The sequence below is a fragment of the Homo sapiens genome, chromosome 12 (genome assembly GCF_000001405.40).
Source record: "Homo sapiens chromosome 12, GRCh38.p14 Primary Assembly".
Lineage (NCBI taxonomy): Eukaryota > Metazoa > Chordata > Mammalia > Primates > Hominidae > Homo > Homo sapiens.
Window position 1 is genome coordinate 66285969 of NC_000012.12, and position 16952 is coordinate 66302920.

The window sequence follows — 16952 nt, forward strand, 5'->3', positions numbered from 1 at the left end:
CATCACTGCACTCCAGCCTGGCCAACAGCAAGACTCTGTCTCAAAAAAAAAAAAAAAAAAAGACATTATATAATTAATTTCAAAAGTTTCTAGCAATTCACATTGCCACAAAGGGCCTTTGGTCTGCTGGACAGAGTAAGCCCCATTGAGAAGATGATAATCTTTTTTCTTAAGCAAAAACACAAAGATAGCGAGGGAGTTAGCCACACAGTTCCCTGGGAAAACTATTCTAGACAAAGAGAGGAGACAGTTCAAGAACTCTCTGGGAGAATCATATCTGATGTGTTCAAGGAACAACAAGGGGGCTGGGCCAGTGTAGCTGAAGCAAAATGAGCAAAGGGAGAGCAGGAAGTGAGAAGGCCAGAGAGACTGATGGAAGGGCAGAGCATGTAAGGCCTAATAGGCTTTGCTTTCACTGCGAGTGTGATGTGGAGCTCTTGCAGGGTTTTGAGCAAAGGAGTTAATACAATCTGACCTGTTTCAAAAGAATCATTATAGCAGCTCCACTGGAAAAAAAAAATGCTGTAGGAAGCAAAATTGGAAGCAGGAGGTCCGTTAGGAGATTATTGGAATAAGCCAGCACAGAGAGGGAGGCAGCTGAGACCAGGGTGGGAGCAGCAGAGGTGGTGAGAAGTGATTGGATTCTGGGTATGTTTCGAAGGTAGAGCCAATGAGATTTGGTGATGGATTGTGCATGGGACGCAGGAAACAGAGAAAAGTTAGGATTAACTCCAAAGAGTTTGGCGGGAGCAACCAAAGGATGAAGTTACCATTAACTGAGATGGGGAAGACTGTAGGTAGAGCAGATCTGGGGAGGAAGAATGGTCAGGAATTCCTGTTTGATCCTGTCAAGTTTTAAAAGATATTTAACTGGCGATGTTAAGCAGGCAGTTGGAAGTACAAGTTTGTAGTTTAAAAGTGATGTATAAGGCCGGGCGCAGTGGTTCACGCCTGTAATCTCAACACTTTGGGAGGTCGAGGCAGGTGGATCACTTGAGGTCAGGAGTTCAAAACCAGCCTGGACAACACAGTGGAACCCTGTCTCTACTAAAAATACAAAAATTAGCTGGGCACTGTGGCACGTGCCTATAATCCCAGCTACTCGGGAGGCTGAGGCAGGAGAATCGCTTGAACCCAGGAGGCGGAGGTTGCGGTGAGCCGAGATTGTGCCACTGCACTCCAGCCTGGGCGACAAAACGAGACTCCGTCTAAAAAAAAAAAAAAAAGAAGAAGAAAGAAAACAGTGATGTATAGACAGTGATATAAATATAAGAACCACAACATATAGGTGATACTCAAGGCCATAAGAGTGAATGGAGTCTGGACAGATAAGAGAAGACTAAGGACAGAGTGGTCATGGAAAGTAAGGAAGGCCAAGGAGGCTACTCAGACAGAGCAGCCATGAAGGAGGGAGACAACTGAAAGATCGCGGCATGCCAGAAACCAAGAGATGAAAATGTGTTCAGATAGAAGGACAGATCAGGGACATCAAATACTGCTGACAGGTCAATAAGAGAACAACTGAGAACAACTGTAGTAGGCTAATTAATGTCCTCCCAGCCCCACAAAGATGTCCACATCTTAATCCCCAGAACCTGTGACTATATTGTCTTACATGGCAAGAAGAACTTTGGAGATGTGGTTAATGTTAAGGATCTGGAGATGGGGAGATTATCCTGGATTGTCCATGTGGGCCCGATGTAATCACAAGGGTCCTTATAAGAGGGAGGCAAAAGATTCAGAGTCAAAGTCAGAGAAGGCAGTGTGACCGTGGACACAGAGGTCTGAGGGATGTGGCAAGGAATGATTGTACCCTGGAGCACCCAGAAGGAAAGCAGCCCTGCTTCCCCATTTTAAACTTCTGACCTTAAGAACTGGGTGATAATAAATTTGTGTTGTTTTCAACCACTGGGTTTGGGGTAATTTGTTATAGCAGCAATAGAAAACAAATGTACTAACCATTGCATTTAGCCATGTGGAAGTCACTGGTGACCCTGCACCAGAGGAATTTCAGGGATGTGTTGGGTTGGAAACCTCATTGAAGTGGGCTAACAAAGACCAGGAGAACAAGTCTATCCTAAACACATGCAGGACCTTTTCTAGAATTAGAAGAGGGGCCTGCTTCAGGCTGGCCAATTGAAAAAGGTGGTGCTTCTGGATAAACCAATTTCCAAATGTTTCTTCTCCAACCATGACAAAGTCCTATGTCAAGCTTTCTGCCTGGCAAGCAGAGAATGGAGTAGATATTAGTCTCCATCTGTGCCCTTCTTCTCTACCAAATGCCTCTGTGCAGAGTACAACCGGAACTCAAGCTGAGTCGGTGCTGAAGGAGAGGAGGAGCAGATAATAAGTACAGATAGCCCTTTCAAGTGGTTTTGCTGCAGGAGCAAGGAAATGAGAAGGTAGCTGGTGGGGAGGGGAGGACAAACAAAATTTTTTTTCTTTTTTTTTTGAAACAGAGTCTTGCTTTGTCACTCAGGCTGGAGTGCAGTGGCACGATCTCAGCTCACTGAAACCTCCGCTCCCGAGTTCAAGTGATTCTTCAGCCTTAGCCTCCCATGTAGCTGGGACTACAGATGTGCACCACCATGCCTGGCTAATTTTTGTGTATTTATGTATTCATTCATTTATTTATATTGATTGATTTTTTTGAGATGGAGTCTCACCCTGTTGCCCAGGCTGGAGTGCAGTGGTGCAATCTCAGTTCACTGCAACCTCTCCTTCCTGGGTTCAAGCGATTCTCCTGCCTCAGCCTCCAGAGTAGATGGGACTACAGGCCGAAGCCACCATGCCTGGCTAATTTTTTGTATTTTTAGTGGAGATGGGGTTTCACCACGTTGGCCAGGCTGGTCTCGAACTCCTGACCTCAGGTGATCCGCCTGCCTCGGCCTTTCAAAGTGCTGGGATTACAGGTGTGAGTCATTGTACCTGGTCTAATTTTTGTGTTTTTAGTAGAGATGGGGTTTCTCCATGTTGACCAGGCTGGTCTTGAACTCCTGACTTCAAGTGATCCACCTGTCTCGGCCTCCCAAAGAAAGGATCTTTTGAGATGGCAAAGGCAACTGTATTTTTGTGTGCTGATGGAAATAATTCAAAAAAGAGAAAAGTAAATGATATAAGAAAGAAGGGAGAATTGCTGAAGTGATATCCCTGAGTAGATGAGAGGGGATTGGGTCTAGACCATATCTAATTGAGGACTACAACAGAGGAGGTTATGTTTGATAAAATCAATAAGAAGGAACAAGGTGCAGTGTAAGATAGTAATATATTAATAATACATGTACACTATGAGGTTGATTGACACAAAAAGAAAGAATGTAGAAGTTGTGCAGCCAATCAGGAGGAAGTCATAATAAGTTAGGGGAGAAAGGTATAGAGTCGGGTGTTGGTATGACTCTTACACTGGAGTAAGCAGGGTTCTTAACCTGGCCTCAGGGGACTCCATTCTTTGAAGTGCTTTCCTCAAATCTTCTAAGACTTCCTCTGGTACTTGGGACCAGCTGATATTGGCAGTGCCATCTGGGTGGGGTGTTGCAAACTTGGGTTGGAACCCCATGTGGGCCCCCATCCTTGTTCTTCCATTTGGGGTGCTCTCTAACCCTCTGTCCCATGGATGAGGTCAACCAGATACACTGAGGAGTTCCATGAAGCCTGCCTATACAGTCACTCTGGTATTCTCTGGCCAGGCCCAGGTTTTGGGAGGGTGACCTGGCAAGCCAGTAACTCCCGTTGGGTAATACAGTATGTATGCATATATGTATGTATGTATGTATGTATGTATGTATGTATGTATGTATGTATGTATTTTAAGGTTTCTGTGCAGTTGAGCTACTGAAATGGTATCGACAGATAGATTTGGAATGGCTTAAGCTGTTTACATGACAGAGCACCTGCAAAATATCCCCAGGGATGGCCCTGAATGTGACATGGGGATCGCCTGGGGTGGAGTGCCGTGGTGTGATCTCAGCTCACCGCAACCTCCGCCTCCTGGGTTTAAGCAATTCTCCTGCCTCAGCTTCCTGAGTAGCTGGGATTACAGGCACCTGCCACCATCCATGCCTGCCTGATGTTTGTATGTTTTGCATTTTTAGTAGAGATGGGGTTTTACCATGTTGGCAAGTCTGGTCTTGAACTCTTGACCTCAAGTGATCCACCCACCTCTGCCTCCCAAAGTGCTGGGATTACAGGCGTAAGCCAGCATGCCTGGCCCTCATAGAGATATTTCAGAAAACCAGGAAAAACACAATTCGGGGAGTAGTGCTTAAATCAGAAATGCTTAAATCTTGTGCTTACTGCTGTACTTCAACAATGATATCATTTAGCAAAGAGATCATAGGTGGAGTTTTTGAAGAGTTGGACAAAAGTAGTTTCTCTCAAAATAAAAACTTATGGCCAAATATTATGGGAAAGATGTCAGCCAACAATAATCTCTCCAAAACAGAGCCACCCAGGAAAGAGGTAAAGAACATTTATTTATCCTGTATGTAGCATATATCAGTCTGTTCTCACGCCGTGAATAAAGACTGATTTAAAGACCTGAGACCAGGTAATTTAAAAGGAAAGAGGTTTAATGGACTCACAGTTCCACATTGCTAGGGAGGCCTCACAATCATGGCAGAAGACAAAGGAAGAGCAAAGGATGTCTTACATGGTGGTAGGCAAGAGAGCTTGTGTAGGAGAACTCCCCTTTTTAAAACCATCAGATCTCACGAGACTTATTCACTATCACGAGAACAGCACAGAAAAGACCCACTCCCATGATTCAGTTGCCTCCCACCAGGTTCCTCCCAAGACATGTGGGAATTACAGGTGCTGCAATTCAAGATGAGATTTGGGTGGGGACACCGCCAAGCCATATCAATGTGCTATTTATCTTAGACCCCTGTGTACAGAGTTCTTACAGGCTCATCCAGCAGCAGTGTAAAAAACAAGTAACCTTGCAATTCAAGTTATTTGTCACTTAGAGATGACAAGAGGTTGTGGTAACTTTGCAACTGTTGTGGTTTTACCCTAAGGTCCCAGAGAAGTGTGTATCTGTTTTACAAATCTCAAACAAAAGAGAGGCAACAAATCAAGGAGATTGATACTATGCTGCAGTGTATGCCTCCTCACAGCCCCAGGTTGGTTCCTGGGTGCATGCAGAGATATTTAGAACACAGAGCTGTGCCTGAACATGTAGCAGCAAAGAGCACGGTCACTGGAGCCTGACTTCTTAGGTTCAAGTCATGGTTCAGCCACTCCCAACTTTAAGCAAGTTATCTAACCTCTCAGCAGAAGTTTCCTCATAAGTAAGATAGATGCTTTAATGTTAACTATTTCATGAGGCTTTTGTGAAGAGTAAATGAGTTAATTGAAGGAGAGGACTTTGTGATGTGTGGAAAGCACAATGTAAACACTCAGTATTAGCCATTATAATTGTTGTTGTTTATAATTAAGGGAGGAAGTTAAATATATAAAATTGTTCTGTTTTCTGAGTGTGAAAGCATTGTCTTTGTACTCTCCAAATTCTGGGGTTTTTTTGTTTGTTTGTTTTCAGAAAAAAAACAAAAACAAAAACAGAGTCTTGCTCTGTCACGTAGGCTGGAGTGCAGTGGCACCATCTCCGCTAACTGCAACGTCAGCCTCCCAGATTCAAACAATTCTCCTGCCTCAGCCTCCCGAGCAGCTGGGATTATAGGTGCCTGCCACCACGCCCGGCTAATTTTTTGTATTTTTAGTAGAGAATGGGTTTCACCATGTTGGCCAGGCTGGTCTCAGACTCCTAACCTCAGGTGATCCACCCGCCTTGGCCTCCCAAAGTGCTGGGATTACAGCATGAGCCACCACTCACAGCCTATGTTTTCTTACATCAAAAATAAAATCTCAGAGATTTTGCATTCTTTAATGAATTCTGCATTGTGTAACACGAGTTATTACTGCATTATGGCTTTGTTTTTTAAAGGAGAATTTTCCAACTCTTTTGAAACTCCCCTGCATCTGCTGTCCATATCTTCATCACATTATCTTTCCACATTCTCCTTCCTGTCTCCCTTTCAGTCATTCTTTCCCTTTTTGCTCATCATTATTCCAACCTAGTTCTTCATATCTCACTTTTCTCCAATGCAGGATGATTTTCTCCCTTCTTGGCCAGAAGTGGATGTTGTATATGAAATCTTGTCACAAATGGAGGAAATTTCCAGCCATTTAAAATAAATCAGGAAAACAGACCTGCTGATCTGAATGTAGTTTATCTTTTGCAACAAGAGTGACTCTGTGGAATGCTCAAATATATTTCTATTCCAGAAAGTCAGTCTTCATCTATTGATGATTATAGATTGCATAAGCATAGCACTTTTCACATGTTCCCTGATTTGCATTCCTTCTATTCAATAATTCATTCCATAGCCCATACAACACAATATCTCATTGTCAATTTTTAATATCTCTACCTTGGTTTCAATCCATCATTCTATCTGAAATAGCAAAACCTCACTACAGTCATGCTCTGTGTTAGTTCATTTTTTGCTGCTTGTAACAGAATACTTAAAACTGGATAATTTATAAAGAAAAGGAATTTGTTTATAACTTAGAGTTATGGAGGCTGGAAAGTCTGAGGTAGAGAGAACATATCTGGTGAAAGCCTTCTTGCTGGTGGAGCAACAGGCGGCATCACATGGTGAGGGGACTGAACATGTTAGTTCAGGTCTCTCTTCTTCTCATAAAGCTACCAGTCCTGGATGTGAGGGTGATCTGTCTGTGACATCTGCCACCCCATTGATAGCCCGAGTTGACTTGGCTGATCTGGCCAGCTAGGCGGTTGTCCCCTTCCTCCCTCACCACTCCATGTGTGTCCCTCCCAAAGCTGTGCTCGGTGAAAGAGGATTACCATCCCTGATAGAAGAGGACTGGTCTTCGGTCAAGGGTATACGGGCAACTGCGCTCCCCTGCTAGAACCTCCAAACAAGCTCTCAAGGTCCACCAGTCCCACTCCCATGATAACCCATTAATCCATTGACCCATTAATCCATGAGTGGATTAATCTATTCACGAGGGAAGATACCTCATGACCCAATCACCTCTTAAATGATATGAAATGAATATACCTCATGACCCTCCTCACCTCTCAGTGCTGCCACATTGGGGATTAAGTTTCAACATGAATTTTTTTTTTCTTGAGATAGAGTGTTGTTCTGTCACCCACGCTAGAGTGCAGTGGCGCTATCTTGCCTCACTGCAACTTCCGCCTCCTGGGTTCAAGCAATTCTCGAGCTTCAGCCTCTCCATAGCTGGGATTATAGGTGTGTGCCACCACGCCTGGCTAACTTTTTGTATTTTTAGTAGAGATGGGGTTTCACCATGTTGGCCAGGCTGATCTGGAACTCCTGATCTCAAGTGATCTGCCCATCTCAGCCTCTCAAAGTGCTGGGATTACAAGCGTGAGCCATGCCGCCTGGCCCTCAACATGAATTTTGCAAGAGACAAATATTCAAACCATAGCACTCTCTATCCCCTTTCTCTCTTTTATCTTTGCTTCTGGTTCTCATCATCATTTGATATTACTTTTACTTGCTCCCTGGCTCCTTCTTAGGATGGATCCTTGCTCCTTCTTAGGATGGATCCTTGCTCCTTCTTAGGATGTACAAGGACTTGGTCTGTTTTGTTTACTGTTATTCTCCAGTACCCAGAACAGTAACTATCCTAAAATATGTATTGACTGAATAAATGAATTGTAGTCATCTACTTCTTAGTAATACTTTGCAAATGTTTGCTTTTTAAAAAGTTATACTTATCATATAGGATGAGATAAATAGTTTTCATAAAATGCCTAACAAAGACCAACATGATCAGCTAGAAACTGATCCCCAGCTCCATCTCTCTGTGGTAGCAGAGTTGATGCATTTTTGTTTTAGTGCTCACCTCAACCATGGCATGTTTGTTAGGAAAGGAGCTTCCAGAAAATGTATTTAGGAAAGCAATTCTTTTTCTTTTTCTTTTTCCTTTTTCTTTTCTTTTCTTTTCTTTTCTTTCATTTATTTTTTGGGTTAGGGTCTCACTATGTCACCCGGGCTGGAGTGCAATGGCACAATCGTAGCTCACTGAAGCCTTGAACTTCTGTCCCCAAACGATCCTGTTGCCTCAGCCTCCAAAGTAGCTGGGACTATAGGTTTGCACCGCCATGCCCAGCTTATTATTGTGTGTGTGTGTGTGTGTGTGTGTGTGTGTGTGTGTGTGGTGATGGGGTCTCTCTTTGTTGCTTAGGCTGGTCTCAAACTGCTGGCCTCAAGCAATCCTCCCACCTCGGCCTCCCACAACTCTGGAATTACTAGTGTGAGCCACCGTGCTCATTGGGAGGCAGTTCTTTTGTTTTTATTTTTATTTTTTGAGATGGAGTGTCACTCTGTCACCCAGATAGGAGTGCAGTGGCACGATCTCAGCTCACTGCAACCTCCACCTCCAAGTGATTCTCCTGCCACAGCCTCCTTAGTAGCTGGGATTACAGGCATGAACCACTGCACCTGGCCAAGGTAGTACTTTTTAACGAACATACTCTCCTACAACTTACAAACTCATATGCTGAAACAGAAATATAAAGGCATGAATTTAGCCCTACAAATGTTTTAGCATGGGTAAAAACATACATAATAATGTAAAGTAAATTGAATTGTAATTAAGGTGATTGGGGTCATTACTTTGTAACATTTAAAGGCAAAGGCTCAACACAGTGTCAATTAATTATATCAACATTTCCACTGAAACACACATACTTCCAGGAAGAAGGCATGAATGCCCTATGGAATCTTGAAGTATTGCCCAACCAACCTGTCCCCTCAAAGGTAGACTTACTTTTAAGTTTTATTCTTTACCTTATTCATGTCAATTTTTCATTTTACATAATATATCCTTATTTGTTTTAATATAAAAACAATGTATTGGCTGGGTGCTGTGGCTCACACTTGTAATTCCAGCCCACTGGGAGGCCGAGGTGGGTGGATCACCTGAGGTCAAGAGTTCAAGACCAGCCTGGCCAACATGGGGAAATCCCATCTCTACTAAAATAAAAAATAAAAAAATTAGCCGGGTGTGGTGGCGGGCACCTGCAATCCCAGCTACTCGGGAGGCTGAGGCAGGAGAATTGCTTCAACCTGGGAGACAGAGGTTGCAGTGAGCTGAGATCGTACCATTGCACTCCAGCCTGGGTGACAAGAGCGAAACTCCATCTCAAAAAAAAAAAAAAACCCAACAATGTATTCAGTAATATAATACCAGTCAATTGGACACGAGAATGCGTTTATCTTGAGTCTTTTGTTCCTTCTGGTATATTACCACTTACTGCTAGGAATCTATATTCCCAGTAAGAGAATTATGGAACAGTTATTCACCACATATAACAATGTTTTGGTTAATGATGGACTGCATTAATAGTGGTGGTCTCATAAGATTATAATAACATATTTTTACATAGCTTTCTCATATCTGGATACACAAATACCATTGACCTAGAGTTGCCTACAGGATTCAGTACAGTAACATGAAGTACAGGTTTATAGTCCAGGAATGATAGGCTATGCCATATGACCTAGGTATGTAGTAGGTTATAGAGCTAGATTTGTACACTCTATGGTGTTTGTGCAATGATGAAATCACCTAAGGATACATTTCTGAGAATGTACCCCTATCGTTAAGTGACATGTGACTGTATTGTTTCGTTTTGTTGAGACAGGTTCTCATTCTGTCACCCAGGCTGGAGTGCAGTTGTGTGATCTTGGCTTACTGCGATCTCTGCCTCCTGGGCTCAAGCAATCCTCTGACTTCCCACCTCTCACCTCCCAGTAACTGGGACCACAGTTGTGCACCACCATGCCTGGCTAATTTTTGTAGAGACAGGTTTTGCTATGTTGCCCAGGCTGGTACCAAACTCCTGGGCTCAAGCAATCCTCCCTCTTCAGCCTCCCGAAGTGCTGGGATTATAGACATGAGCCACCACACCCAGCCACACATGACTGTAGTATCAGCTTTTTGTGGCTAGGGCTTTCTGCCTCCTTATATCCCTTTTAGTGCTGCACAATGCTATCACAGTGTTTTAGCATTCAAAGTTCCTCTGAATCAATGCAGTTATCAAGTCCCTGTTTTCATTAACTTTCAATATACATATCTTCTCAATTAAATTATAGAGACTTTTTGGCAAGGGCCATTACTGTTTCCTTATGTCTTTCAACTGTATCCACCAAACGCAACTATTACATGATCACTATTGTGTCAGGAAGGATAGGCTAGGTTCTGATGACTTAAGAAACAATTCCACAACCCCAGTGCATTAAGTGCATTCATACAACAAAGATTTATTCTCATTAGTTTGAAATCTACTGTGGTTCACATAACTCTCCAGGGCAGTTGTTCATTATATGATGACTCACTGTTGAACCTCACAAAGCAAGAAATAATCAGAGGTGGAGAATTGGTCACCCCCAATTAAATGCTTCTACCCTGAAGTGACATGTTGCTCTCATTTCATTGGTCAAAGTAAGTCAGATGGTCATGATGAATTTCAAATAGATGGGGAAGTACAATGCTACTGTGTGTCTAGAAAGAGGAGAATTCACTATCAGTGGATACTAGTACTACATGCTGTTTGTATGTATGTCTGTTGACTGAATGTAATCTAACATGTCTTTATTATAATTTCTACTCTGTATGTAATTGCATCTCTATGGTACTGTGTTATTGACTCATTTGTTGTCTTAACTCTGTCATACCACTTTGGATCCCACTTTTATAAACAAAACAGACAAAATACTAGTTTAAACATTTACCAGGATAAATTAATATGTAGCGCTTTCAATATAACTGTGAAACTGTCATTATCACAACTGCACCTTAATTGCATCCTTTGCCTCATCACAGTAATTAAACAGATTACTAAATCTTATTCCCTCCCCATTCCCCCAATACAATGTTTAGGTTTTGCTAATGATCACTTCACATTGTGCTAATTGCCTTGATGCCAGCCAGGCACATTAAAACAAATATATTTCTGACATGACTAGAAAACACATTATGTAACACAGGAAAAAAATCTTCCAAGTGAGAAGCATTATGTATGAGATACTGAAAGGTATTGCTTCATGATTCAGATTAATTGATTTATTTAATAACAATTTCCTAGGATAACTTTCAAGGGGACATTGCAATGAAAGTTTAGTTTATGGGAGATGAATAGCCACGTTTTCAGAAAAGAATGGTTAAGCTTCTGTTTAAAACCTCTAGTGGCATCTTGCTGACCTTGCCGTGGCCTCCTGAAACACTGCAAGTTCTGGCTGCCACCCACTTCCTACCAGCCTCATCTCACACCCATTCCTTATACCTTCAACTTCAACTTCACTGACTGGCCACCAGCAATCCTGGAATCCCCAATTTTTTCTCTATGACATTGATGTTTTGGAATATCCAGGTCAGTTGTCTTGTAGAATGTCCCATATTCTAGATCCGGTGTGGGAAAACTACAGCCTGTTTTTGTACAGCCGTAGAGCTAAGAATAGTCTTTACATATTTAAAGGGTTATAAAAAAAGAAGAGGGAGAAGAGAAGGAAGGAGGAGGTGGAGGAGTATTATGTGATGGAGACCATATATAGCATGCAAAGCCTGAAATATTTACTATCTGTCCCTTTGCAAAATGAAGTTTTGTCACCTCTGTTCTAGATCTTTCTGTTTCCTTATGGTATCATTCAGTTGGTACCTCACTTCCTTGGATTTGGGGCAAATTGGAAATTCGGTCTACAACTGTGCTGTCTAATATGGTAGTCACTAGACACATGGATTTCGAGTCCTTGAAATATGACTAGTTCAAATCGAAGTGTGCAGTAAGGGTAAAATACAGACCAGATTTTAAAGACTTAGGATAAAAAAAAAAGAATGTAAAATATTTTGTTAATAATTTTTATATTGATTACCATGTTGAAATACTATTTTGGATATTTTGGATTAAATAAAATGCATCATTAAAATGTCACCTATTTCTTTTTTCAATGTGGCCACTAGAAACTTTTAAATTACATATGTGGTCATATGATATATATCTCTATTGAACAGTACTGGTCTAGAGCCTTGATTAAAATCAGGTTAAATACTTTTGGTAAGAATACTTAATAGCTAATTTTATGTATATCTTATTGCGTCATAGCATGAAATACACATCAATTGTGTCCCATTATTGACACTGTGTTTGATAACTTGATTAAAGGGTGAGTGACAAGTATCTTCACTGTATAGGTACACTTTTCCCTTTGCAATTCGTAATCTATTACTGCCAGGAGACTATCAGTTCCCCAGTGATGTTCATATCCTTTGGTGATACTTGCTTGAATCAGTCGTTACTTTAGGGGGTTGGAAAATGCTGGTTTCTATTTTTATAATTTCTTCTTAAAAATTCTTATTAACTGGCATTTCTCTCTCTCTTTTTTTAACTATCACAATTAACATGTGAATTTTTATTTACTCAGCATGTTATAATCAAGTGCAGTCACTATTCCTTTTGATACTATAATTTTCCTTTTTTTTTTTTCATTGCAGTGACACCATCTTGCCTCACTGCAACCTCCACATCCCCAGTTCAAGCAATTGTCCTGCCTTAGCCTCCCAAGTAGCTGGAATTACAGGCACGCACCACCTTGCCCGGCTAATTTTTATCTTTCTAGTAGAGACAGGGTTTCCATGTTAGCCAGACTGGTTTCGAACTCCTGATCTCAAATCATCTGCCCACCTCGGCCTCCCAAAGTGCTGGGATTACACGCGTGAGCCACCACACCCGGCTGGTCCTTGCTTTTGAAAACAAAAAGTCACCCAGATTAAAAAACCAAGATTAGGCTGGGTGCAGTGGCCTGTAATCTCAGCACTTTGGGCAGGGGGAGGCAGAAAGATCACTTGAGGCCAGGAGTTCAAGGTCACAGTGAGCTATGATTGTGAGACTGAATTCTAGCACAACCCTGTCTAACAAACAAACAAACAGAAAATTGAGATGGTGGGTGTGATCAGAGTTACTGGGGTTACATTGCTTTCAGGTTCTTTTGGCACACAGAACTAGATAATACATTTTAAGAAATCACAAGCCCATATTGATATTTTCAATTCCAGTTTAATGTTGTAGGAGCTTTTTTCAACTTATTTTATTTTACATTTGTATTTCTTTCCATGTACATTTAAAACTTTTAATAAAATATGAATACATTTACTTATTTTCTTTATCCTACAATATATAATTTCAAAATTACACTAACAATATTACAACAAACATTAACCATAATGAGTGAAGTTTAAGATCATTTTTTAGATCTTTTGTCTGCAGAGTATAACCTACCAGGGGTGTACAGTTAGAATAACTTAAAATATTTACCCAAAGTATTGAAACATAACTTGAAATGATTATTTTCTCTTAGTGGTTATGCAATTCACTTGATAGATTTGTTTGTTTCTGTTTGTGTTCAATTTTCTGTTTTGCTTTTGTTTCTTTTATTTTTTGAATGTGTACAACATTTACATGATTCAGAAGTCAAACTACATAATAAATTAATCTCAGAGCTCTTGTCCGTATCCCCTTTCTGTCCTATCATGTTTCCATCTCCTCTGTGGGTAACTATTTTCATCAATTTCTTCCCCCTCCACCTCCCCCTCCTCCTCCTCCTTCTCCTCCTTCACCTTCTTCTGGCTCACTGCAGCCTCAACCTCCTGGGCTCATGCAATCCTCTCACATCAGCCTCCAGGGTAGCTGGACTACAGGCACACGCCACTGTGTCTGGCTAATTTATTTATTTTTTTGAGACAAGGTCTTGCTATTTTGCCCAACCTGGTCTGAAACTCCTGGGCTCAAGCAATCCTCCTACCCTGGCCTCTCAAAGTGCTGGAATTAGAGGCACGAGCCACCATTCCTGGCTATTTTCATTAACTTGTGGTTTATCTTTCATGTGATTTTTTTTTTTTTCGTAACACTGACACATACAAATAAAATGATATGCATTGTTTTACATCTTGCTTTCTCTAATTTAAAACAGTATCTTGGAAACTACTCCCTACCAATTTGTGGCAATCTTTCTTTCTTTTTATAAAAAAAATAGCTGAAGAATACTCCATTGTGTGGATGTACTACAGTTTATTTCATTAGTCTCTTGCTGTTCAACATCTCTGCTATTTCCAATAATTTGCTATTACAAAAATCACACAGTAGATAACCTATGTCTATGTTGTTTTTTGTTTTGGGAAGTGTAGCTTCAGGGTAGATCCAGGTATCTCAATTTTAGAACACATCCCAAGTGATTTTGATGCACAGCCAGATTTGAGTACCACTGCTTACTATGTATGGTAAAGATGGTATCCAGAAAGCCAGAATTGTTAACTTTTTTTTTAAAAGAATGAGAAAACAATAGGTAAAGAAGTAAGATTCTTATCATCCTAAATTCCTATCTACACTATCCAATAAAATGCAATTGAACTATATGAATAGAAGCTGAACATATAGTGACCAGGTGCAATGGCTCACGCCTGTAATCCCAGCACTTTGGGAGGCCGAGGCCGGCAGATTACTTGAGTTCAGGAGTTCGACACCAGTCTGGACACCATGGCGAAACCCTGTTTCTACAAAAAATTGCAAAAAATTAGCCGGGCTTAGTGGTGTGAGCCTGTGGTCCCAGCTACTTGAGAGGCTGATATGGGACGATCACTTGAGCCTGCTGGGAGGTCAAGGCCTCAGTGAGCTGAGATGGTGCCACTATAGACCTGTACCAAAAAAAAAAAAAAAAAAAAGGGAGGAGGAGTTGAACACCTGTGCTGTGTAGTGGCTCACATCTGTAATCCTAGCACCTTGGTAGACTGAGGCAGGAGGATCACTTGACTTTAGGAGTTCAAGACCAGCTTGAGCAACACAATGAGACCTTGTCCCCCCACCCCCCAAAAAAAAAGAGAGAAAGAAAAAAAAGTTTAACATCTAGAGATCTAGAGTTGATTCTTGTGCCCAAGTCATCATGTTGGTAACAAGAATATCCCATGTATATACTCATAAGTGACCCAGATTTGGGAAGCCAATGATAAGTTGCAGTTTAGATATGCTGAGTCTTAAGTAGCCAAGGGGCATCCAGTAGTGACTGACAGTGTTTAGGCAGTTGTTTGTATGGTTTGGAGATCAGATTAGGCTGAGTCATTAGCATGTAGGTGAAGGATGATTGAGGAAAGGATTATAGAGCAAGAAGATGCTTGGGATGGAGCCTTGGGGAATAACAGTACTTACAGGCAAGCAGAGGGGTCCAAGACTGTAAATAGCCAGAAAGGAGAAAAATCTGAGAAGGCAAGCTGCAAAAGCCCCGGCAGCAGAATGCTACAAGAAGAAAATACTTATCAGTATCAAATACTGCTGAGAGGTCAGGTAAAACAAAGGCTGAAAAGTATCCACTGGTTTTTGAAACGAAGAGGACAGTAAGTGTGACATTTGTCAGAGGAGATTCAATGTTGTGGTGGAAACAGTAGCCATGTGAATGTCAAAGGAATTCAACCTCATATAGCCAATCCTTGGAAACACTGGTGTTTTGTCAGCTGCAACAGTATTTCTTTTAAAAGCAACAAAAGTGGGCATTTTTCAATTGGTACCCAAAGGAAAAGAAATCAATTTTTATATTTTCTCCTATACATTTTTCTTAAATATTTGGTGCTAGTTGTCGTTTATATATATTTAAATATAGCATCAGGTGCTTTTGGATTTAGTAAATAGTGTGTGTTTAGTTATTTCAGGAATAATCCCAAAATAAACAGTATCAATACAGTAATGTAGTAATATATTTATGGTATTTCTTAAATAGTACCAAGACTTTCAAGTACCATCCTCATCAAGTAAGAGAATCATAGCCCCATAATAGTTTTTAAAACCACGTTCCTTTCTCTTCTATTTCCCTTCTCCTATTCCTGTCTATACTCTGGGCTGCAAAGAGACACTTTTGCCCCACTGTCAGCAGGTAGCAGCCCAGCTTAAATAAGTTTGGGAGACCAGGGTGTACTCACAGAGGAAAGGATAAAAATAACTTTGAATGTTATCTAATCCAGTGGTGTCCAAACCTAGCTGAGCATCAAAATGGACAGCCCGGAATGTACATTAAAAAGACAGAATTCTAGGTCCCTGCCCTAGATCCGATTCCAGAAGGGCATCTGCTATACTTTCGTTTTGGGAAGGTTGGGGTGGGGGTTGCTTTTCCAGGTTCTTCAAGCTCAGCAGAAGTGGACTTTCTCCCCGTTCTCTCTCCGCAGGAGATGCCGTGCACTGGCGGTTCTGCAGGTGCCACGCCTGTCACTCCCCAGCGCTGATTTCGTCCCAGCACCTTCCTGATAATCACCGCCCAGCACCAGGCTCCAAAAGGAGCGGAAGCCCCGCCCATCTCCCAGCCCCTCGCTCTCCCTTCCCCGCCCCTAACCCGCCTTGCCCCGCCCCTTCCACATGCCCTCCCCTCGGCAATTCCTGGAAACTTGGGGCGGAGCTTCGCTGCCTTTCAGGTTTTATGTACGCTGGCGGCCGCCAGGCCGTTCCCGGAAGTTGATGGCCTTACAGTCGTAGAACTGATTGGCTGATCATGACCATGCAGTTAGCCAGGGTTTTCCCGAGTTGTTTGGGTTGAGTTCAGGAGAAGCATGGCCAGGTCGAGTCCGTACCTGCGCCAACTTCAGGGACCTCTGCTCCCACCCAGGGATCTGGTGGAGGAGGACGACGACTACCTAAACGACGACGTGGAGGAGGATGAAGAGTCCGTGTTCATCGACGCCGAGGAGCTCTGCAGTGGGGGCGTAAAGGCTGGCAGCCTCCCCGGGTGCCTCCGCGGTGAGGAAGGCGTCTGCCCGGGGGATGGGGTTGGAGGGTCCAAAGTAGCGCTTCCCATTCTGGCTTTGCCCTGAGCAAGGCACCCAGTCGTGCTAACAGATTTAGCTTATCAGTGGTCTAGCTGCTTCAT

At 42.1% G+C, this 16952-nt stretch overlaps 1 protein-coding gene and 1 pseudogene across 5 annotated transcripts in view, besides 2 other annotated features; both read left to right on the forward strand.

The window, feature by feature from the left end:
* Positions 6715-6957, forward strand: RN7SKP166 (RN7SK pseudogene 166; annotated as a pseudogene).
* HELB (DNA helicase B) overlaps positions 16525-16952 on the forward strand; it is a 41151-nt gene continuing 40723 nt past the window's right edge. For all 5 annotated transcript variants that reach the window (NR_135080.2, NR_135081.2, NM_033647.5 and 2 more), the window contains exon 1: positions 16525-16822. Coding sequence is in view for 3 of the 5 variants with exons in the window: in NM_033647.5 (NP_387467.2) it covers positions 16636-16822 (187 nt within the window). In the remaining 2 variants the exon portion in view is untranslated. The remainder of the gene's footprint in view (positions 16823-16952) is intronic.
* Positions 16595-16644: an enhancer, noted in NCBI's record as "active region_6616". NCBI's record gives its function as "activates an Ori minimal core promoter by ATAC-STARR-seq in GM12878 lymphoblastoid cells {active_cell/tissue: GM12878}" and the evidence as "EXISTENCE:reporter gene assay evidence [ECO:0000049][PMID:35858748]".
* Positions 16705-16784: an enhancer, noted in NCBI's record as "active region_6617". NCBI's record gives its function as "activates an Ori minimal core promoter by ATAC-STARR-seq in GM12878 lymphoblastoid cells {active_cell/tissue: GM12878}" and the evidence as "EXISTENCE:reporter gene assay evidence [ECO:0000049][PMID:35858748]".